General features: G+C 42.6%; 1 protein-coding gene across 6 annotated transcripts in view; it reads left to right on the forward strand.

Moving 5' to 3' along the window:
* ZNF512 (zinc finger protein 512) overlaps positions 1–24847 on the forward strand; it is a 40176-nt gene that overhangs the window by 7528 nt on the left and 7801 nt on the right. For 3 of the 6 annotated variants that reach the window (NM_001271318.2, NM_032434.4, NM_001271287.2), the window contains 9 exons: positions 7498–7685; positions 9014–9109; positions 9401–9484; positions 10122–10246; positions 10787–10873; positions 11894–11992; positions 12571–12738; positions 17276–17470; positions 24599–24700. In NM_001271318.2, coding sequence (NP_001258247.1) covers positions 7640–7685; positions 9014–9109; positions 9401–9484; positions 10122–10246; positions 10787–10873; positions 11894–11992; positions 12571–12738; positions 17276–17470; positions 24599–24700 — 1002 coding nt within the window. In that variant the 5' untranslated portion in view covers positions 7498–7639. The remainder of the gene's footprint in view (positions 1–7497; positions 7686–9013; positions 9110–9400; positions 9485–10121; positions 10247–10786; positions 10874–11893; positions 11993–12570; positions 12739–17275; positions 17471–24598; positions 24701–24847) is intronic. The other 3 variants (NM_001271288.2, NM_001271286.2, NM_001271289.2) reach the window with 3 other exon arrangements.

Below are 24847 nucleotides of genomic sequence, written 5' to 3' on the forward strand. Positions count from 1 at the left end.
GATAGGTCTGCCCTTTTATTTTTTGTTCTCTGTTTATCCATTGTTTTTTGTTCCTGTGTTTCTTCTTTTGGATTATTTGAATGCTTAGTGTCTGCCCCTACTCTTGTTTTTTTAAGAGACAGTGTCTTGCTCTGTTGCCCAGGCTGGAGTTGGTGGCACATTCATTGCTTGCTGGGCTGAAGTGATCCTCCCACCTCAGCCTCCCAAGTAGCTGAGATTACAGAGGTGTGAGCCATCTACCCCGGCCTGTTTACCATTTCTGTTGCTCTTTCTTCATTCTTAAAAATCCAAGTTTCTCTCTGGTATTATTTTTCTTCAGCTGGAATCATTTGTTTTAGCATTTCATATGGAGCAGGTCTGCTTACAATGAATTCTCTTAGTTTTATTTCTTAGGATATTTTCACTGAATATAGAATTCTGAGTTGACAAATTTTTTCTCTCAAAATTTTAAAGATATTTCTTTTTCCTTTTCTTTTTTCTTTTTAGAGACAGGGTCTCACTCTGTTGCCAAGGCTGAAGCGCAGTGGTGCGGTCATAGCTCACTGAAGCCTCAAATTCCTCAGCTCAAGGGATCCTCTCACTTTAGCCTCCCAAGTAGCTGGGACTATAGTTGCATGGCACCACACCTGGATAATTGCTTTAAAATTTTTTTATTTTTATTTTTGTGGGTACATAGTAAGGATATATATTTATGTGGTACATGAGATGTTTTGATACAGGCATACAATGTGAAATCACATCATGGGGAATGGGATATCCATCCCCTCAAGCATTTATCCTTTGTGTTATAGACAATCCAATTACACTCTTTTAGTTATTTAAAAATGTACAATTAAGTTCTTAAAATTATTATTATTATTATTTTGAGACAGAGTCTCGCTCTGTCACCAGGCTGGAGCACAGTGGTGTATCTTGGCTCACTGCAACCTCCGCCTCCCGGGTTCAAGCATTTCTCCTGCCTCAGCCTCCCGAGTAGCTGGGACTACAGGCGCATGCTACCACGCCCAGCTTTTGTATTTTTAGTAGAGATGGGGTTTCACCATGTTGGCCAGGATGGTCTTGATCTCTTGCCCTTGTGATCTGCCCACCTCGGCCTCCCAAAGTGTCGGGATTACAGGCGCGAGTCACCGCGCCCAGCCTTAAAATTATTTTTTGTAGAGACAAGGTCTTGCTATGTTGCCCAGGCTGGTCTTGAACTCATGGGCTCAGTCCCCCTGCCTTGGCCTCCCAAAGTACTGGGATTACAAATGTGAGCCATTACACTGGTTCGATTTTAAAGATACTGTACTGCCTTGTGGCATTCTTGGTTTCTGTTGAGAAACCCATGGTCATTTAAATCATTTCCTGTAATGTAATATGTCACTTTTCTGAAGCTTTCTAGTTTAAAACAAAATCTTTGGCTTTGAATAGTTTCTTATTTATTTAAACAATTTTTTTGAGACAGAGCCTAACTCCCGTTGCCCAGGCTGGAATGCAGTGGCGCAACCTCTGCTCACTGCAGCCTCATCCTCCTGGGCTCAGGTGATTCTCCCACTTCAGCCTGCTGAGTAGCTGGGACTACAGGTGCACACCACCACACCTGGCTAATTTTTTGTATTTTTAATAGAGGTAGGATTTTGCCATGTTGCCCAGGCTGTTCTTGAATTCCTGGGCTCAAGGGATCTGCCTGCCTCAGCCTCCTAAAGTGCTGGGATTACAGGCTTGAGCCATTGCACCCAGCTTAGTTTTTTTATTTATTTATTTATTTTTATTTTTTTTTTGAGATGGAGTCTCGCTCTGTAGCCCAGGGCAGCTGGAGTGCAGTGGCATGATCTCGGCTCACTGCATCCTCCACCTCCCAGATTCAAGTGATTCTCCTGTCTCAGCCTCCCAAGTAGCTGGGACTACAGGCACCCGCTACCACACCCAGCTAATTTTTGTATTTTAGTAGAGGTGGGGTTTCACAATATTGGCCAGGCTGGTCTCCAACTCCTGACCTCAAGTGATCTGCCTGCCTTGGCCTCCCAAAGTGCTGGGATTACAGGTGTGAGCCACCATGCCTGGCCTAGTTTATTTTTTATTGAGTTAAAGTATACCCATATAATTTACCATGTTTACCTTTTTTTTTTTTTTTTTTTTTTTTTTTTTTGTTTGAGACAGAGTTTCGCTCTTGTTGCCCAGGCTGGAGTGCAAATGGCGCGATCTTGGCTCACCACAACCTCTGCCTCCCAGGTGCAAGCGATTCTTCTGCTTCAGCCTACTGAGTAGCTGGGATTATAGGCATGTGCCACCATGCCCAGCTAATTTTGTATTTTTAGTAGTGACGGGGTTTCTCCATGTTGGTCAAGCTGGTCGTGAACTCCTGACCTCAGGTGATCCACCTGCCTCAGCCTCCCAAAGTGCTGGGATTACAGGCGTGAGCCACCACGCCTGGCTGATACATTTATATTCTTTTTCTTTTTTTCCTCTCTTCACTCCCTCATGTCTCCCCTCCCCTTCCTGGCTGAATAGTTTCGTTAAGATGTGTCTTGGTTGGGTACCGTGGCTCATGCCTGTAATCCCAGCAGTTTGGGAGGCTGAGGTAGGAAGATTGCTTGAGCCCAGGAGTTTGATACCAGCCTGGACAACAAAGTGAGACCCTGTCTCTACACACACACACACACACACACACACACACACACACACACACACACACACAAAAGAATGAGCTGGGTACCGTGGCACACACTTGTGGTCTCAGCTACTCAGGAGGCTGAGGTGGGAGGATTGTTTAAGCCTGGGAGGTGGAGGCTGTGCTTGAGCCACTACACTCCAGCCTGAGTGACAGAGTGAGACCTTGTCTCAAAAAAAAAAAAAAAAAAAGTGCTTTGGACCAGCCTGGGCAACATAGCAAGACCCTGTCTCTATGAAAAAACACAAAAATTTAGTGGGTATGATGGTGTGCACCTGTGGTTCCAGCTACTCGGGTATGGTGAGGTGAGAGGATCACTTGAGCCAGAGAGGTCCAAGCTGCAGTGAGCCATGTGCCACTGCACTCTGGCCTGGAGAACAGAACAAGACTGTGTTTCAAAACAAAACAAAAAGATGTATCTTGGTATGTTTTTCTTTGAGTTATCCTATTTGGTGTTTGTTGAGCTCCTTGAATCTGTAAATTTATATCTGACCAAACGTGGGGGATTTTCCACCTTTTTTTTTTCAAATGTATTTTTCTGCCTTAGTATCTTTCTTTCTTTCTTTTTTTTTTTTTCCATTTAACCCTGAGTTGACACAGCACATGTTTCAGAGAGCACAGGGTTGGGGGTAAGGTTATAGATCAACAGCATCCCAAGGCAGAAGAATTTTTCTTAGTACAGAACAAAATGGAGTCTCCTATGTCTACTTCTTTCTACACAGACACAGTAACAATCTGATCTCTCTTTCTTTTCTCCACATTTCCCCCTTTTCTTTTCGACAAAACCGCCATCATCATCATGGCCCATTCTCAATGGTCACTGTCTCTTCGGAGCTGTTGGGTACACCTGCAGAAAGGCTGTCACTTCACACTTGGAAGATTGCACAGCGGCCAGTCAGAGGTGCTCCTCACTTCCCAGACAGGGTGGCGGCCGGGCAGAGGCGCTCCTCACATCCCAGATGGGGCGGCCAGGCAGAGGCACTCCTCACCTCCCGGACAGGGCGGCCGGGCAGAGGCGCTCCTCACATCCCAGACGGGGTGGTGGCCGGGCAGAGGCACTCCTCAGTTCGCAGACGGGGTGGCAGCCGGGCAGAGGCGCTCCTCACCTCCTAAACGGGGTGGCGGCCGGGCGGAGGCGCTCCTCACCTCCCAGAAGGGGTGGCGGCCGGGCAGAGACGCTCCTCACCTCCCAGACGGGGTGGCGGCTGGGCAGAGACGCTCCTCACCTCCCAGACGGGGTGGCGGCCGGGCAGAGGTGCTCCTCACCTCCCAGACAGGGCGGCCGGGCAGAGGCGCTCCTCACTTCCCAGACAGGGCGGCCGGGCAGAGGCGCTGGTCACATCCCAGATGATGGGCGGCCAGGCAGAGACGCTCCTCACTTCCTAGACGGGGTGGCGGCCGGGCAGAGGCGCTCCTCACTTCCCAGACGGGGCGGCCGGGCAGAGGGTCTCCTCCCATCCCAGATGATGGGCAGCCAGGCAGAGACGCTCCTCACTTCCTAGATGGGGTGGCGGCCGGGCAGAGGCTGTAGTCTTAGCACTTTGGGAGGCCAAGGCAGGCGGCTGGGAGGTGGAGGTTGTAGCGAGCCGAGATCACGCCACTGCACTCCAGCCTGGGCAACATTGAGCATTGAGTGAGCAAGACTCCGTCTGCAATCCCAGCACCTCGGGAGGCGGAGGCGAGCAGATCACTCGAGGTCAGGAGCTGGAGACCAGCCTGGTCAACACGGCGAAACCCCGTCTCCACCAAAAATACAAAAACCAGTCAGGCGTGGCGGCGCGTGCCTGCAATCCCAGGCATTGGGCAGGCCCAGGCAGGAGAATCAGGGGAGCCCGAGGTAGGGAGGTTGTAGCTAGGTGAGATCACGGCAGTATGGTCCAGCCTTGGCAACAGAGGGAGACCGAAGAAGGGAGAGGGAGGAGAGCGGGGAGAGGGAGAGCGAGAGCTGCATTAGTATCTTTCGCCTCTCCCTCTGGGATTACAACTACACTTAAGTTAAAACGTTTGGTATTAGGGTTTTGTTGAATGTTTTTCAATCTTTTTTTCTCTTTGTTCTTCAGACTGGTTTTTTTTCTTTTCTTTTCTTTTTTTTTTTTTTTGAGATGGAGTCTCGCACTGTCGCCCAGGCTGGAGTGCAGTGGTGCGATCTCTGCTCACTGCAGCGGCGCGATCTCTGCTCATTGCAGCCTCCGCCTCCCAGGTTCAAGCGATTCTCCTGCCTCAGCCTGCCGAGTAGCTGAGATTACAGGCACCCACCACCAGGCCTGGCTAATTCTTTTGTATTTTTAGTAGAGACGGGGTTTCACTATGCTGATCAGGCTGGTCTCGAACTCCTGACCTTGTGATCCGCCTGCCTCGGCCTCCCAAAGTGCTGGATTACAGGCGTGAGCCACTGTGCCCGGTGGAGACTGGGTCATTTCTATTGAACGGTCTTCAAGTTCACAGACTCTTTCCTCTGTCATCTCCATTCTATTACTGAACCTATCTGATGAGTTTTTATTTCAGATGTTGTATTTTTCAGTTCTAAGATTTCATTTGGTTCTTTTTTATGGTTTCTTTTTCTGCTGATGATTCCCACCTTTTCCTTCATTTCTTGTGTGTTTTCTTTATAAGAAAGTATTTCTTTTTTGTTGACAGTATTTGATAGTCCCAAAATCTGGATCACCTTGTGGCTGGCATGTTTTGGTCATTTGTTCCTTTGAAAATTGCTCACATTTTCCTGGTTCTTTATGTGTTGCATAATTTTGGAATTTATCCTCATCATTGTGAATACTTTTTGTGTAGATTTTGGGTCCTATTATAATTCTTCTGGGGAATGTTGCCGTTTCTGTTTTAGCAGGCCACCCTGCTTCAGGTTCAGGCCAAAACTTCTGTCTTGCTTTTGGAGGCATTTGTTAAAATCTCGGTTCTGTTCTTTATGTCTTTGCTATGTTGATTTGAGCTGTCCCAAACATGAATAGCTTAGGGGCTGGTCTGAGACTTCTGCAGGTGTTTCCAATCTTATTTCAGTTCTCCAAGCTTTTGCTGCTTTGGTTTGGGTCACATTAGAGTTCAAATCTCATTTTGGTTTTCAAAGTCTTTGCTAGGCTGGTACGTATGGGTATATGCCACACATTCATGGCTAAGGTTAAGTTGTGACTTATTTGGATTCATACATTGAATTAAGAGATTCTTTTTTTTGCCTGTTTTCTCTCTAGCATTCCTCCCACCCCCAGTCCCCCAACTCTGGTCCACAGGGACCTTTTTTCCTGATTTACCTGGTAAGAAAGAAGGGAGTTTCTAGAATTAAAGCTGCCTATGCTGCTCTGCAAGTGGGGTTCATCCTCATTGCAAATTCTTACTTGAGGGAAAAAGACAGAATTGGAAAACTCACCCCATTTGGGGCACTTCTCCCAACTTTGACTCCCCTGCATAATTTACTTGTTTTTGTTTGTTTTACAGAGTCCAGTGAGCAGGAGGGGTGGGCCTTAGTGGGCTTAGCTGCCCCTCCAGAGCCAGGACTTCTGTGTATTAAATTTGTGTTATTGGACCTCATGTGTGGAGAGCCGAAACTCATTCTTCCCTATTTGTAACATACTGACATAACCAGTCTCTGTTATGTTTACTCATCCCCATTTCCATCCCCTCCCTCCTAGAGGAAACTGTATAAACAAGTGTGATGTTTGCACTTAAATATTTATGACTCCTTTAAAAAATAAGCTTTAAAATAAGCTGCTTTATGTGTGGATTTGTTTTTAGCTTGCTGAACTGACATTGTGCTAGAGATACTGTTTTGTTTCTTTTTTCATTCAACAATATACTTTTTAGTTATGGTCGTGTCTCTATGTGTAGAATTAGTTTATTGCTTCTAACAGCAGCACAGTATTCCATAGTAGGCATCTATCACATTTTGCAAGGATGGTCACTGTGTTACTTCCAACTCCCTGATGTCATAAGCAAACCTCTCTATGTGTAATTCTTATTAGCTCTACATCTAAAGTGTTACCTTGAATCTGCCAATTCAAGTTAACTTTTTTCCTTTTGTTTACTCTTTCTCCCATGGGCTGTCTCCATAGAGCAGCCAGAAGGATCTTTCTGAACCATAAATCTAAAGTAGGCCTCACAGGTATTTAGCTGGAAAAGGGAGGTTCTAGGAGTCCATTGACCACTCTTGGAGAACTGCTGCTCTGCTGCATCTTGAGCCACCTAGAAGAATGTCTGATGCTTTGTAGTTACAGAGTAATGTTTTTTAGCTGTCATACTGACTGGTCTTAGATTTTGGAATCTGGATTCAGCTGTATACCAGAAATCTCTGGCCAGGTTAATTCATGCAAGATAGCATCCATCCTTTAGCTGTGGAAGCTAAGTATCATGTTGCCTAAATAAGATAGGGCATCAGGTTTTAGGGAGAATGCTGAGGCAGAAGGAAGATGAGTCAGATTAGGGCCCACAGACTATTCCTTTCCCTTAGAGATACCCTTTAGTTGCCATCCCTCTGTCAGAGAAAGAGAGAGGCTGGGACATACCAGGTTACAAATCCAGGGAGTCTTCTGAAGGGTCATAGAACACCTTTATTGCTTCACCTACTTTCTTTTATTAGATGAATCTAGGAAGGAATGTCTACTTGGGCTGCAAAGTGATCATTTATGTGTACTGCTTACTCTTATTACAATGAAGTGTGATAATAATTGTACATGTTGTGTTAGATCAACTATTGTTATTGTTAGGTGATTACAACTTACATTCTGTTTTTATAGCAGGCTTCTTAGTTTTCTGCAGAGGTAACCAACTTGGTTATAATGTAAAAGAATGTATAGAAATTTTGCTCCAGACCTTCCTTTGTGGTATATATTTTTATGTTGTATTAGTAGCAGGACCCAGTGCTCCATAAAGGATAATAGTTTCCAGTACACTATCCCTCATGATGACTCCTTAAGTGGTTCATCGTCTGCATCTTCGTGTGAACCAGTGAGTGATTTTCCAGCATCTTTCCGAAAATCTACCTACTGGATGAAGATGAGAAGAATCAAGCCAGCTGCTACTTCTCATGTCGAAGGTATCAATATCAGTGTCTTATTCTGAAGACGGGCCACTTCCTAAAGTTATAGTTTGAGATTGTTATAAATACCTCTTAAAAGTATTAAATGGCGGCTGAGCGTGGTGGCTCACGCCTGTAATCCCAGCACTTTGGGAGGTCGAGGCGGGCGGATCACAAGGTCAGGAGATCGAGACCATCCTGGCTAACATGGTGAAACCCCGTCTCTACTAAAAATACAAAAAATTAGCGGGGCCTGGTGGTGGGCGCCTGTAGTCCCAGCTACTCAGGAGGCTGAGGCAGGAGAATGGCATGAACCTGGGAGGCAGAGGTTGCACTGAGCAGAGATCGCACCATTGCACTGTAGCCTGGGCGAAAGAGCGAGACTCCGTCTCAAAAAAAAAAAAAAAAGAGTATGAAATGCCACATATTTGTTTCTCATTAGTGATTTAAAAAAATTTAAGGTGTTAGGCAATTGCATCCTGTCCCATTAGCTTCATGAACTGCTATGTGATAGAGTGAAATTCTGCTAATCTTACTCCTCTAGATTATATTTAGCATTTGATTTTCCTCTTTGTAGTATTTGAATTCCCCTTTTCTTCTTCTTTTTTTTTTGAGACGGAGTTTCACTCTTCTTGCCCAGACTAGAGTGCAATGACTCGAGCTCAGGCTCACCGCACCCTCCTTCTCCTGGGTTCAAGCGATTCTCCTGCCTCAGCTTGTAATGCCAGCTGAGTAGCTGGGATTACAGGCATGTGCCACCACACCTGGCTAATTTTGTATTTTTAGCAGAGACGGGGTTTCTCCATGTTGGTCAGGCTGGTCTTGAACTCCTGACCTCAGGTAATCCGCCCACTTTGGCCAAAGTCTGTAATCTCAAAGTGCTGGGATTACAGATGTGAGTCACCATGGCTGGCCCCCCTTTTCTTCTAGTGTGATCCTCTGTTGATGATTTAGGGGCTGGTGTAAGGATTATTCAGGGGAGAATATTCTGGATCGTCACAATCTCAAGGGTCCTTGGTGGCTAGCCCTCTATCTTGAGCAATTCTTATCCTCTTGTTAGCCTCAAGTCAAGATTAAGCAAAACACATTGCTTGAATGCCCTTATTATTCATAAGGAACAATGGATGATTTGGAATAGATAACAATATAAAAAGAAAGGGAGAGTGGGTCAGTTAATGAGAAGTTACACCAACTTCTCTAAAAATGTCACAGACATTTCTCTGAGGCCTGTGTTCACTGATGATCTTTCCTTTTGATGGTCTTGTGAATGATGTTTTGAAGACAGGCCTAGATGTTCATTTACAAAGTGTGCTGAGTTTTTGTTTTGTTTTTGTATGGTACTTCAGGGTCAGGTGGAGTATCAGCCAAGGGGAAAAGGAAACCCAGGCAGGAAGAAGATGAAGACTATCGAGAATTTCCTCAGAAGAAGCATAAGCTTTATGGTAAGGCAGTAACTTTGCTACTTCTTTTTCCTTGGGTGACTGAGCTTTATTCTTTGAGGGTAAAGGAAAGAGAAGCCTTAGTTTGAGCCCTTCAGTGACCTCTGAGCCCTTTGAATTGTTTGGGAGGGAATGGCCTCCATCCTGCCTCATTATACCCTTTCATTCTGTCCTGACTTAGGCAGTCAGTCGGTTGAGGGACTGGGAAATAGGGTGTTGAAGAGGAGGAGAGGGAAGAGATTTTGGTATTAGCAAGGGTGACATGCTGGGCTTCAAGTTTCTGTCTTATGTCAGGGAGGAAGCAACGGCCTAAAACTCAGCCCAATCCCAAATCCCAGGCCCGTCGTATTCGGAAGGAACCACCAGTTTATGCAGCAGGTATGTTTTCTTTTGGAAGTTTTGAGGGATGTAGTTCTCACACTCTGATTTGTTGTTGGTGTTGTCTGTGAAGGAATGAGGTACTAAAGCATTTCTTTAAGGAGGCAGTTACTAAGGGCTCTAGTTTGGAGTCAGACAGACCTTTGCTCAAGTTTTGGCTCTTCATTAACTTTGTGACCTGCCTCAATTTATTTAACTTCCTCTTGCCTCAGTTTCCCTGTCTATGAATAGGGGTAATAAAGGCAGTTAGAATTATTTTGAAAATTAAATGGATAAAAACATTTAGCATAGTCTCAGGCACATAAGAATCACTCAGCAGACAGGCTGTGACGTTTCTCAGTATCCTATTGTTACATCCTGTGGTGAAAAATGTTGCTGCCTAATTCTTGAAGCAACTGGGCTTTGGAGCCGTTCTCAGGTGGTTTTTATCATGGCGAAATGAGTAGGAGTTTTCAGAAACTCTTCACTGTCTAAAAAATACTACTTTTAGAAGTTATACCCAGCAAGAGCCTCTTCATCGCAGTCTACCAGGAAAAGGAAAAACCATTTTATGATACTTTTCCTAAATCGTGGGATTATGCTTTTTGTTTCTGGAGAATACTGCAGATTACAAAGTGTTTCTTTCTCTCCTTTGTAGGCAGTTTGGAGGAGCAATGGTACTTAGAAATCGTTGATAAAGGCAGTGTCTCCTGCCCTACCTGCCAGGCAGTGGGGAGGAAGACCATAGAGGGTTTAAAGAAACACATGGAAAACTGCAAGCAGGTTAGATATTTTGGCGTTTCATAACTGTTACGATATTTTTACCCAAACTTTAGACTTCTTTTGCTATGTTGGATATGCTGGTTATAATGGATGAAAAGCAGCATTGTATAATAAAGGAAACATAGGCTTTGGATCTGACAGAGTTAGGTTTGAATCTTCTCTTAGCCACATACTAGTGTGGCATTTAGCTTTTTATATGTAGACCTCAGTTTCATTTGTAAAATAGAGAAAAAATAATAAATACAAAATAATAAAAACCTTATGTAGTCCATGAGAGGATAAGAAAGAAGTAACGCAGGGCTAAATGCCTAGCCCATTACTTGGCAAATATTTGGTTAATGGTAATTCTTATTATTTTAAAAGTGAATTGCCTTTATTTTGCCCTTGAAGACATGACACTGAGTTTCTGGGATTTTGAGATTTATTGACTATTGAGCTTGAGAAATAAAGGAGACATAGATGAAAGCATTTGAGTCGGACTTCATGACATTCTGTTTCTCTGTGGAACAACCTAGCACTGAGCAGTATTTTTCCTTCTAGGAAATGTTTACTTGTCATCATTGTGGGAAACAACTTCGTTCACTGGCAGGGATGAAGTATCATGTCATGGCAAATCATAATAGTTTGGTAAGAGTGTCTTCTGTCTTTTGTGAGTGTTTGGATGTCTTTTTTTTTTTGAGATGGAGTCTCACTCTGTTGCCCAGGCTGGAGTGCAGTGGCACGATCTCGGCTTACTGCAACCTCCACCTCCTGGTTCAAGCGATTCTCGTGTCTCAGCCCCTTGAGTGGTTAGGACTACAGGCGTGCGCCACCACGCCTGGCTAATTTTTTTTGTTTTGTTTTGTTTTTTGAGACGGAGTTTCACTCTTGTTGCCCAGGCTGGAGTGCAGCAGTGCAAACTTGGCTCACCGCAACCTCCGCCTCCTGGGTTCAAGCGATTGTCCTGCCTCAGCCTCCCGAGTAGGTGGGATTACAGGCATGCACCACCACACCTGGCTGATTTTGTATTTTTAGTAGAGATGGCAGTTTCTCCATGTTGGTCAGGCTGGTCTCGATCTCCCAACCTCAGGTGATCTTCCCGTCTTGGCCTCCTAAAGTGCTGGGATTATAGGCGTGAGCCATCGCGCCCAGAAATTTTTTGTATTTTTAGTAGAGACTGAGTTTCACCATGTTGGCCAGGCTGGTCTCGAACTCCTGACCTCAGGTGATCCACCCTCCTTGGCCTGCCGAAGTGCTGGGATTACAGGCGTGAGCCACTGCGCCCGGCCTGGATGTCTTTTACTTATGTGAGTGTAGATATCTCAGTGCAGATGGCTTTGGGATTTTATAAGGGTGTTAGCAAGAAGACCGTTTTGATAAAAGAGTTATGCACAATGAAACCTTTGCAGTGAATCCATAAATATTTGTGTGTTTAGGTTAGCTCCAAAGGTTCATATCTTGGGAGTCAGAGGCTCAGAACTCTTATTTCCATTATATTCACTTCCTTTGTCCAGGAGAAGATGGAGAACACCAGGAGTCAGAAAACTTGGGCTTCATTGGCACCAGCTTAGCTGCCAGTCCAATCCTTGATTCTCCTCTGATATTTTTTTTCCCTGTGTCTTATCTTTTCCATGAATCATCTTCTTGTTTACTTCTCTTGATTTCTAGCCCATTTTGAAAGCCGGAGATGAAATAGATGAGCCAAGTGAGAGGGAAAGGCTCCGAACAGTTCTAAAGAGACTGGGAAAGCTCAGGTGCATGCGTGAGGTAAGGGCCCAAGGACAGCAATTCCTTCTGCCTGAATTCTCAGGTCAATGTCTTTCGTTCTTCTTTCCATTTCTTCTCTTCCTCATTGTAGACTTCCTAGTTCTGTACTATCTTGGTCTCTTGAATCATTAATAGTTGTTTATTTTCTTCCTTATTTCCAAAAATTTATTTTTCTCCCCCTTCCCTTTGTTTGATGGGGTTTCCTTACCATCCTTTTTTTAATGTGATGAAGAGGATCCCAGTGACCCCTCACTGTGCTGGACTTTGGTATATATTGCTGGGTATTTGATATTGGGATGGGGTTGGATCACAGACCAAGGAGAAAGCTCTGACATAGAGTAGATGCACAGTTATAGTTTATCAAGGGCTGACTAAGCTGATTGAAAATCATGCTTGATCAGAGTAAGATGGCCAGAGACAAGGAAGGGTTGTGCTGATGGGAGATGTTGGAGAGGGTCTACTGAAATCAGAGGGTCTATTTGTATTTTGTGGTGGTGAATGCTTTATGGCTGTTTAGAAATTTAGGGATCATGTCAAAAGATGTAAGATTATAGTTTAGGCTTCTCTCCTCTGTTCAGAGTTGCTCCAGTAGCTTCACCAGCATCATGGGATATCTCTACCATGTCAGAAAATGTGGCAAAGGGGCTGCAGAGCTGGAAAAGATGACCCTGAAATGTCACCACTGTGGAAAACCATATAGGTCGAAGGCTGGACTTGCATATCACCTGAGGTCAGAGCATGGGCCTGTGAGTACTGATTCCTTTCTATACCCTGCGTGGGGATGTATTTCGTGGTGAGTCCTTACCCCTCTATCTTCCCATATGTGTTTGGTTCCTCATTTGTATCCTCTTTTAATCTCTGAATGCTTGTGTGTTGTCTCTTCTTTATTCGTTCTTTGTCCTTATTTCTGCCTTTTTAACATTATTAGGTTAGATAAATCAAAATTCAAAGTATAGTCCAGGCAGAAGTAAACTCATTATTATATATTTTATATCTTATATATTTTTATATAGTGTGTGTGTGTGTATATTTTTTTTTTTTTTTTTCTTCAAGAGACAAGATCTTGCTGTCTCAGGCTAGAGTGCAGTGGTGGGATCATAGCTCACTGCAGCCTCGAACTCTTGGGCTCAAGCCATCTTCTTGCCTCAGGCTCCTAAGTAGCCAGGACTACAGGCTTGCGTCACATGCCCAGCTAATTCTTCGTTTTTAATTTTTTGTAGAGACGGGGGTCTCATTATGTAGCACAGGCCAGTCGCAAACTCCTGGCCTCAAGTGATCCTCTTACCTTGACCTCCCAAAGTGCTGGGATTATAGGTGCGAGCCACCCTGCTCAGCCCATTATTTAATTAATTAATTAATTAATTTATGTATTTATATATTTTTGAGACAGACTTTCCCTCTGTTGCCCAGGCTGGAGTGCTGTAGAGCAATCTTGGCTCACTGTGACCTCCGCCTCCTGGGTTCAAGCAATTCTCCTACTTCAGCTTCCCGAGTAGCTGGGATTACAGGTGCGTGCCACCACGCCCAGCTAATTTTTGTATTTTTATTAGAGACGGGGTTTCACCATGTTGGCCAGGCTGGTCTCGAACTCCCGATCTCAGGTGATCTGCCCACCTCGGCCTCCCAAAGTGCTGGGATTATAGGCGTGAGCCACTGTGCCCAGCCCCATTGTTATACTTTTAAAACTAAAGGCATTCCCCCATAGCTAGAGCTTTTATGGGCATCTGTCCAGCTGGTTCCTCTCATTTTTTTGGTTTAAATTTTTTTGTTCTCATTACATTTCCAAGGTTTCCCACCCTGTGGTTTCTTTTTTTTTAGAGTCATTTGTTAAGATACAATTTACACATAGTAATGTTTACCATTTTAGTGCATAATTATAAGAGTTTTGACACATGTATACAGTCATGTAACCACTATCACACTCAACACATAGACTAGGCGGGGTGCCTTAGCTCACACCTGTAATCCCAGCACTTTGGGAAGCTGAGGTGGGTGGATTGCCTGAGTCCAGGAGTTTGAGACTAGGTTGGGCTACATAGTGAGACCCTGTCTCTACAAAAAATGAAAAAATAAGCCAGGCATGGTGGTGTACACCTGTAGTCCCAAGTACTTGGGAAACTGAGGTGGGAGGATCACTTGAGCCCAGAAGGTTGAGGCTGCAGAGCTGTGATCATACCACTGCATTCCAGCCTGGGTGACAGAGTGAGACTCTGTCTCAAAACAAACAAAAAAAAGATGTTTTACAATTCCATCACTACCTCAAGTTGACTTGTGTCCCTTTAGTCAGCCTTTTCCTCCAGCTACAGCCTCTGGCAACCACTGATTTATTTTCTGACCCTATAGTTTTACCCTTTTCAGAATGTCATATAAATTGAATCATACAGCATGTAGCCTTTCAGTCTGACTTCTTTCATTTACCATAATCCATTTGTGATTCATCCATGTGTTGCATGTATCATTAGTTTATTCCTTTTTTTTTCTGACTAGGATTTCATTATATGGATGTTTCAAGTTTGTCGTTTATCTGCTTACCAGTTGAAGAACATTTGGTTGTTTCTAGTTTTTGATGATTACGAATAAAGCTGCTATAAACATTCACAAAGGTTTTTGGGCTGGGCACAATGACTCATGCCTGTAATCCCAGCACTTTGGGAGGCTGATGCAGGTGGATTGCTTGAGCTCAGGAGTTCGAGACCAGCTGGGCAACATGGTGAAACCCCATCTCTACAGAAAATACAAAAATTAGCTGGGTGTGGGTGGTGCACGCCTGTAGTCCCAGCTACTTGGGAGGTTGAGGCGGGAGGATGGTTTGAGCCCAGGAGGCGGAGATTGCAGTGAGCCGAGATGGTGCCACTGCACTCCAGCCTGGGTGACAGAGCAAGACCCTGACTCAAAAACAAAAAATGAAAAGATTGTTGTGTTTTGTTTTTTTGAAACAGGGTCTTGCTCTTTTGCCCAGGCTGGAGTGCAGTGGCGCCACCTTGGCTCACTGCTACCTCTGCCTCCCGGGCTCAAGCCATCCTCCCACCTCAGCCTCCCAAGTAGCTGGGATTATAGGCGAGTGCCACCTCACCCAGCTAATTTTTGTATTTATAGTAGAGATGGGTGTTCGCCATGTTGGCCAGGCTGATCTTGAACTCCTGGGCTAAAGTGATCTGCCTGCTTTGGCCTCCCAGAATGCTGGGATTACAGGCATGAGCCACTGCACCTGGCAAAAAAGGTTTTTATGTGAAAATAAATTTTAATTTCCCTTGGGTAAATACTTAGGAATGAGATTTCTGGGTCATATGATTAATGTATATTTAACTTCATAAGAAACTGCTGCATTGTTTCCTAAAGTGGCTGTGCCATTTTGCATTCCCCCAGCGAAGTATGAGCACTCCAGTTGCTTTGCATCCTTGTCTACATTTATTATTATCAATTTTATTTTTTGATCCATTCTAATAGGTACGTAGTAGTACTTAACTGTGGTTTAAATTTTCATTTCCCTAATGACTAACGATGCTTAATCTTGTTGACCATCTTTGCATGTGCTTACACCATGGTGATTTGTATGTCTTTAATGAAGTGTCTGTTCAAATCCTTTGTTCATTTTGAGGGGAAGATTTTTGTTGTCTTATTAAGTTTGGGATATATTCTGGGTTTTTTTATCATTCCGGATACAAGTTCTTTATCTTTTTTTTAACATTGTCTTTTGAAGAACAGAGTTTTAAATTTTGATATAGTTTATGTATTTTTTCATTTATGGATAATGCTTTTTTATATCTAAGAAATCTTTGCTTAACTCAATGTATAATTTTCTTTCTTTTTTTTTTTCTTGAGACAGAGTCTCACTCTGTTGCCCAGGCTGGAGTGCAGTGGTGCGATCTTGGCTCACTGCAACCTCCGCCTCCTGGGCTCAAGTGATTCTCCTGCCTCAGCCTCCTAAGTAGCTGGATTACAGGTGCCCGCCACCGTGCCTGGCTAATTTTTGTATTTTTAGTGAGATGGGGTTTCACCATGTTGGCCAGGCTGGTCTTGAACTCCTGACCTCAGGTTATCCGCCTGCCTCAGCCTCCCAAAGTTCTGGGATTACAGGCATGAGCCACTGTGCCTGGCCCTCAGTGTATAATTTTCTGTTGCTACTGTGAATCACCACAAACTGAATGGCTTAAAACAACACACATTTATTATCTCACAGTTCTTTAGGTCAGAAATCCAGTTACAGGATGCTTCATCTGGTTCCTCTGCTTAGAGTCTCACCAGGCTGGAATCTGTGTCGGTAGGGCTGTTCTTTTTTAGAGGCTCTAGTGAGAGAACATGTTTCTAGACTCATTCAGATTGTTCAAGAATTCAGTTCCGTGCAGTTGCAGGAGTTCCTTTCCTTATTTGCTGTGGGCTAAGAATTCTCCCTTTCCAAAGGCCACCTGCATTCCCTGGCTCATGGCTGTCTTCAAGTCAGAGACAGCAGGTTGGATGTCTCTCATGCTTTGAATCTCTCCTGCCTCTTCTTCTGCTGGATCTGTCTTACTTAAAGTCAACTGATTATAGACTTTTATCACATTTACAAAATACCTTCACATCAATACACTTAGATTTATGTTTGATTGACTAACTGATGACTGTATCCCAGCCAACTTGACACATCAAAAAACCGTCATACACAGGATCACACGCATTTTCTCCCTTGCTGTCTTCTAGAAGTTTTATAGTTTTATGTTTTACATTTAGGGCTATGGTCCATTTTGAGTTAATTTTTATATATAGTGTGAGGGATGGGTTAAGATTTGTCTCTTTGTATACGAATGTGTCTTTTAACCACTAAGAGGCCTTTTTTTTTTTTTGAGACAGAGTTTCACTTTTATCACCCAGGCTGGAATGTAGTGGCGCAATCTTCACTCACTGCAGCCTCCACCTCCCTGGTTCAAGCGATTCTTCTGTCTCAGCCTCCCGAGTAGCTGGGACTACAGGCGTGTGCCACCATGCCAAGCTAATTTTTATGTTTTTAGTAGAGACAGGGTTTCACCATGTTAGCCAGGCTGGTCTCCAACTCCTGACCTCAGGTGATCCACCCGCCTTGGTCTCCCAAAGTGCTGGGATTACAAGAGTGAGCTACCACGCCTGGCCCTAAGAAGCTTTTTTTACCAGTAAAATATACATTAATATGGTGGAACTTGATGCTAGTGGTTAGCAATCTACTACATAGCTCTTTTGATATTTAGAGCAGGAAGCTCAGCCTTTAATCACTGGCTGTGATGGATGCCACTTATCAGGCCTGTGTTTTGCTGTGTCTCATTCTTGCAGATATCCTTCTTTCCAGAGTCAGGACAGCCAGAGTGCTTAAAGGAGATGAACCTAGAGTCAAAGAGTGGGGGCCGAGTTCAGAGACGTTCTGCCAAGATAGCTGTATACCACCTACAGGAGCTGGCCTCTGCTGAACTGGCCAAGGAATGGCCCAAGAGGAAGGTGCTTCAGGACCTGGTACCTGATGATCGAAAGGTAAGGCAGAAACATGTATCAATTTGGGAACCATTATGTCTAACGTTGTGCCTACTGTACACAGAGAAGTAAATGCACTTGAGGAAGTACGTGATAGGCAGTATTTTGTTTGTTTATCTTTGGAGATAGAGTACATCTGATCTAGCTTCGGTGTTTGGATTCAGTTAGGTTCTAGAGTGACAGTCTGTTTCATAAGTTCCTTAAAGAGCCCTCTTAATTCTGGACTACTTCCAGAGGGAACCTGAATTCTTAGATTAGATATTTGTGTAATGTGTTTTTGTTTTGCTAGGTCATATGTAGTAGTTTATATTTAGTTGAGATAAATGGTTTCAGTTTGTTTTGTAGTAACAGAACTCCTCTCCCCCGCTTTTTTCAAAATAAAATCCTATGCAAAACACCAGTATATAAAATAACTTAAAAACAGATTTGCTTTGAGTAGCTGTGAGTAGTGAGCCCAAAGCCTTGTCTACTTGGCCTTCTTCTTCTTGATACTTTTATTGTTCCCCTACACGGCCCCAAGCATACTTCTGAGGGGTGCAGAACCTGTTTGGAAGCCCTTGGATCTATTAGAATCTATTAGAATAGATCATAGAAGAAGGGGCCTTATTTAGCCAAAAGAAGACAAGGATATATGACTATCGGATAGTCTTGGGAACAGGTTGAAGGGATACATAATAAGAAGTAAGAGAGGAGCAAAGGGTCTCTTATTCTCCAGGGTATCAAGAAGTTCACATTTGGCATAGGGCTCTGACATATGTGAGAGGAATGTTATGTCTTATAAGAAAATAAGGCTGGGTACAGTGGCTCAAGGCTGTAATCCCAGTACTTTGGGAGGCTGAGGTGGGTGTATCATGAGGTCAAGAGATCGAGACCATCCTGGCCAACATGGTGAAACCCCCTCTCTACTAAAAATACAAAAATTAGCCTGGTGTGGTGGCAGGTGCCTGTAATCCCAGCTACTCAGGAGGCTGAGGCAGGAGAATCGCTTGAACCCGGGAGGTGGAGGTTGCAGTGAGCCAAGATTGGACCACTGCACTCCAGCCTGGGTGACAGAGTGAGACTCTGTCTCCAAAAAAAAAAAAAAGGAAAAGAAAAGAAAAGAAGGTCAAACCCTAGTTTCTAACACTTATGTCTTTTTTGGTCTAAAAATTAGTCCAGAGTGGTAGGTGTGCACTCCTGGTGGACACTACTGGTGTCCAAGGAGTTGGATTGTATTTTTGAATATTAGAGTATACTTTCTTGTTTTGGACTTATTTCTACATTTTTTTTGCCTGCTACAGGCTAAAGTACATGGCTATCTAAATCCAATTTAAATGTGGGTTTTGCACAGTGATATTTATCTCATGATATTACAGTCAGGTTTCAGTACGCATAGGATATCATAAGGAAATTTAAATATTTGTTAACTGGCTGGGCCCAGTGGCTCACGCCTGTAATCCCAGCACTTTGGGAGGCTGAGGTGGGTGAAACACGAGGTCAGGAGTTCGAGACCAGCCTGGTCAACATGATGAAACCCCGTCTCTACTAAAAATATTTTTAAAATTAGTGGCTGGGCACAGTGGCTCACACCTGTAATCCCAGCAATTTAGGAGGCCGTGGTGGGCCGATCATCTGAGGTCAGCAGTTTGAGAACAGCCTGGCTAACATGGTGATACCCCTTCTCTATTAAAAATACAAAAATTAGCTGGACGTGGAGGCGAGTGCCCGTAATCCCAGCTGCTTGGGAGGCTGAGGCAGAAGAATCGCTTGAACCTGGGAAGCAGAGATTGCAGTGAGCCAAGATCGTGCCATTGCACTCCAGCCTGGGCAACAAGAGCAGAAATCTGTCTCAAAAAAAAAAAAAAATTAGCCAGGTGGGACACATGTGTAGTCCCAGCTATAGTCTCAGGTACTGGGGAGGCTGAGGCAGGAGAATCGTTTGAAACTGAGAGGCGGAGGTTGCAGTGAGCCAAGATCATGCCACTGCAATCTAGCCTGGGCCACAGAGCAAGACTTCATCTCAAAAAAATAATAATAAAAATAAATAAATAAATAAATATTTGTTGCCGGGCGTGGTGGCTCACGCCTGTAATCATAGCACTTTGGGAGTCCAAGGTGGGCGGATCACGAGGTCAGGAGATTGAGACCATCCTGGCTACCACAGTGAAACCCCATCTCTACTAAAAATACAAAAAATTAGCTGGGCATGGTGGTGCTTGCCTGTACTCTAAGCTACTTGGGAGGCTGAGGCAGGAGATTCACTTGAACCCGGGGGGCAGAGGTTGCAGTGAGCCGAGATTGTGCCACTGCACTCCAGCCTGGGTGACAGAGCAAGACTCCGTATCAAAAAAAAAAAAAATAAATAAATAAATATTTGTTAACTCATTGATAAAGTTGGGTATTCTCATCTAGCAGAGGCTTTCCTAAAATCATCAAATAGGTTATATATGTGTATATGTGTATATATATATATGTGTATATGTGTATATATATGTGTGTATATGTGTGTGTATATATATGTGTGTGTATATATATATATATATATATATATTTTTTTTTTTTTTTTTTTTTTTTTTTTTTTTGAGACAGCGTCTAGCTCTGTCACCCAGGCTGGAGTGCTGGCGTGATCTCGGTTCACTGCATCCTCTGCCTCCCAGGTTCAAGTGATTCTCATGCCTCAGCCTCCCAAGTAGCTGGGATTACGGGCACATACAACCATGCCTGGCTAATTTTTTGTAGAGATGGGTTTTGCCATGTTGCCCAGGCTGGTCTCAAACTCCTGAGCTCAGGCAATTCGCCTGCCTCGGCCTCCTGAAGTGCTAGGATTACAGGCGTGAGCTACTGTGCGTGGCCTGGTTTATATTTTCGACAGCGTATAGATAAAAGGCATTATTCTTTCTTAAATATAAAAATTTAATCTTTTTGAGTAGATAACATATTCTTCAAATGGTTCAAAAACTCAAAATGATGCTAAACCTTGAATTAGCCCACTCCCACCTTGTCCTTGTTCTGTCCTGTCCCCATGGTTAACCATTCTTATTAGCTTCTTGTGCATCTTTCCACTGTTTCTTGATGTACATATAAGCAATGTATATTCTTTCTTAAAAACTTTTAATTTTGAAATAATTTTAGACTAGTTAGCAGAGTTTCCAAATGCTCTTCACCTAGCTTCTCCTAATGCCAACATCTTACATAACCATATCTTAGGATATTATCAGGATACCACATTTTATTTCATTTCTGTGGCTCCTTAGTCTCTTCCAATCTGTTATAGTTCCCCTGGCTTTGTCTTTTGTGTCCTTGATGCTGTTGAAGAGAACTGGCTGGTTATTTTGTAGAATGTTCCCCAGTGTGGATTTGCATGATACTTTCTCAAGATTAGGTTGAGAGTATCATGACTCTCAGTGGTATTCTTGGCAAGAATACCACTGAAGCATGTTGGCCCTTCTCCATGTATCATATCAAAAGGTATATGATGTTGATATGTCTCTTACTGATGATGATAATTTTGATCAGTTGCTTAGGGTGTGTTTTCTAAGTATCTCAATGGCAAAACTATAATCTTCCCATTTGTAATTAGTGGATATTTTGTGGGGAGATGGAATATGCACATATCCTGTTTCTTATCATACTGTTGCCTTCTTAGATTAGCATCCATTGACAATATTTGCCAGTAGCATTTTTTTTTTTTTTTTTGGAGACGGAGTCTCACTCTGTCACCCAGGCTGGAGTGCATTGGCGTGGTCTCGGCCCATTGCAACCTCCGCCTCCCGGGTTCAAGCAATTCTTCTGCCTCAGCTTCCTGAGTAGCTGGGACTACAGGTGTGCACCACCACGCCCGGCTAATTTTTGTAGTTATGGTAGAGACGGGGTTTCACCATATTGGCCAGGCTGGTCTCGAACTCCTGATCTTGTGATCCACCCCCTAGAGTGCTGGGATTACAGGCATGAACCACCGTGCGTGGCCGCCTGTAACAGTTATGCCTGTGATGTTTACATAATGATTTTCAGTTTCCATCGTTTTTTCTATAATTATTGATTAGAACTCTACTGTGAAAAGATCTGTTGTTTTTCTCTATTTGTATAAGTAAAGACTCAATGATGTTTATTTTATTCCATGGGTTATAATCCAATGCTATTATTATTTATTTTGCTGCTCAATGTGTCCTGGATTTGGCAGTTGAGCGCTCTTTCAAGTGGGCTCCTGTGTCTTTTTGACATCCCCTATCCTTTTTTGAGAAGATTTTTTACTTTATGACATGATAAGACAGGCCGTAGGCTTATCTTCCATTTTTCCTGCCCCAGCCCTGGAATCAACCATTTCTCTAAGGAATCCTGGTTCCTTTTATTAAAGAATATATTTAGAAGTGAACATTTAAGTGCTAGTTCTACTGGAGTGTCATTGTTTCTGTGCCTTCTTGGTGGATAGAGTTAGGATATAAAGGCATGTATAGTCATACATGCACACATACACATCCATATTTATTTTATGGCTGTCTATCTGTATGTATATTAAAAGCCATGAGACCTTCATTTCCAATCCAACACCACAAGTTTCCTTCTAGCCTTCCTTTTTCCTTATTTGTAACTTCTTTCTCCAACAGTGAGAAACGTGGTTCTGATTATCCACAGTATATTTACTTATTTACTCAATTCTAGTAGTATATAAAATAGTTTCAGAATTACCAACTTATTCCCTTGTAAAAAACAAATTTTCTGTATTTGCGTATACTTCTTTTCATCTTGAGCCTTACAGTATGTAGTGAAAATAGTATTTTCCAAAGTTACTGAGGTTAGTTTTTTCTTCCCTGCCCCCATCATTGTGTCATTTATTTGTAATAGGTTCATGTGTTATTTTTATTAAGTTTTGGGTTTCCCCTACATCCTATTTAATGTAACTATTCATTTATTTTGGGAGTATATGAAACTACCATGGTTCTAAATCAGACCTATTCAAAGAGATATGTTCTGAGTCACTACTCCTCATCCCAACTATTCCATTCCCATTCCCCTTTTCTTTCTACTGTGTTCCCACTTACCTCCAAAGATAACCAAACTCATTCGTTTTTAGTTTATCCTTCCTGTATTTTTATGTGATGGATCATCAGATACATGTATATTTTCTTATATCCCCTTCTTTCTTACTACAGATAATTTTTTTGATACTCTGCTTTATTTCACTTAATAATATAGTTGTGGCCGGGTGTAGTGGCTCACACCTGTAATCCCAGCACTTTGGGAGGCCGAGGCAGGCAGATCATGAGGTCAAGAGATTAAGACCATCCTGGCCAACATGGTGAAACCCTGTCTCTACTAAAAATACAAAAATTAGCTGGGCATGGTGGCGCACACCTGTAGTCCTAGCTACTTGGGAGGCTGAGACAGGAGAATAGCTTGAACCTGGAAGGCGGAGGTTGCATTGAGCCAAGATAGCACCACTGGACTCCAGCCTGGGCAACAGAGCGAGACTCCATCTCAAAAAAAAAAAAAAATTTATATATATATACAGTTGTCCCTCAGTACATGTGGGGCATTTGTTCCAGGACCTCTGTGAATACCCAAATTTGTGCATACTTAAGTTCCGCAGTCAGCCCTGCCAAGGCTGTGTATATGAAAAGTGGTCTTCTGTATAGATGGGTTTTGTGTACTGAGAATACAGTATGCTTGATCCTTGTTTGGTTGAAAAAATCCACATATAAGTGGACCTGCACAGTTCAAACTCATGTTGTTCAAGGGTCAACTGTGTAACCTGGAAATTACTCCACATGTGTTCATAGAAATCATCCTCATCTTTTTTATAGCTGGATAGTACTTCATTTACATAAATGTGATAGTTTATTACTATTACTAATATGATAGTTTATTACTATCATATTTATGATAGTAAATATGTATCATATATGATACATTTATAATTATATTTATATAAACTATGTACTATGGAGCTGTAAAAAAGATTTTAGATAGGCCCATTTACACTAGCTTCAGAGGAGACTAAATGCTTATAAATAAAGCCACTTCTGTACTCTATAAAAGTATTGTGTACCCTATTCTTTTATAGATTTACCAGAGGTTCTTCGGGCTACCTTCCTTACTTCCTCCATTACCTTTATGGGCTTTGGGTGTGTTTTTTTGTCGCAGAGAATCAGCTTCTTTTCAGATACTTCCATTGTCAAAGCAGAAAGATTGTTTACTCACCAGAAATATAGCTATTTACCCATGGTGGACTTTGCAAGAACTGTCTGTGCAGGTTGCTCTCTCCTCTCTGGAAACTCTAGTTGTAGTTGTAAGGAGAGATCAACTCATGTCAAAGCCTGTAAAAAGAAGTGCTAGAAATAATTCTACTTTTGAAGTATAAGCAGATATTATGTATTCTATTCCGTGATTTCTCTCACATCCCTGTTTTATGTTGAACCTTAATTTTTTTGTTTTAGAATTTTAAAAATACCAAAATTACCATGTTATAATTGAAGAAAAATTAGAAATGCAGATAAATAGGAAAAAATATTAAAATGATTCAAAATCCTACCAGAGATGTAGTCCCAGCTACTCAGGAGGCTGAGGCAGGAGAATGGCGTGAACCCAGGAGGCGGAGCTTGCAGTGAGCCGAGATCGTGCCACTGCACTCCAGCCTGGGCGACAGAGCAAGACTCCATCTCAAAAAAAAAAAAAAAAAATTCAACCAGAGAATACCACTGTTAATATTTTGATTTATACACTTCTAACCTTTTACTCATCTACATTTATTTCTATGACTGAGTACACGAATGCGAATTTGTATCCCTCTCTTTTTTTTTTAAATTTATTTTTTTCTTTCCTAATCATTAGAACCTATGAATCTTTCTTTTTTAACACATATTTTAATTCTATGTAGTACTCTGTAGCTTTTTTTTCTTTTTAAACTGTAGGTGAAGTATTATATCTGAGTCTCTTGTCCTCTGTTAAAAATCAAACTTTTCTAAGACAAACAATAGACCATTACACTTATCAGTTTCAGGTACTTTATAGGGTCTTATATCTTACAGTTTTTTTGTGTACAAGAGTATAGATTTCAGAATTATATAACCTAAAGAGTTGGGTGTGAAACTTTTGGGATATTTTGGTTGGGAGTTGTATTTATCTAATGTTTCTGGTTGTCTTGTCTTGTAGTTAAAATATACTCGTCCAGGGCTCCCTACCTTCAGCCAGGAAGTACTACATAAATGGAAGACAGATATCAAGAAATATCATCGTATTCAGTGTCCTAACCAGGTGGTTCTTTCTCATTCATTTATTCAGTAAATGTTTATCAAGCATCTGCTCTTGCTTCTGTTATTTATTCCTTCATGACAAAGTACCTGAACCTCAGTGGCTTAAAACAATTATTTTATTTGTTCACAATTCCATAGAGCAATAATT

The sequence above is a fragment of the Homo sapiens genome, chromosome 2 (genome assembly GCF_000001405.40).
Source record: "Homo sapiens chromosome 2, GRCh38.p14 Primary Assembly".
Classification (NCBI taxonomy): domain Eukaryota; kingdom Metazoa; phylum Chordata; class Mammalia; order Primates; family Hominidae; genus Homo; species Homo sapiens.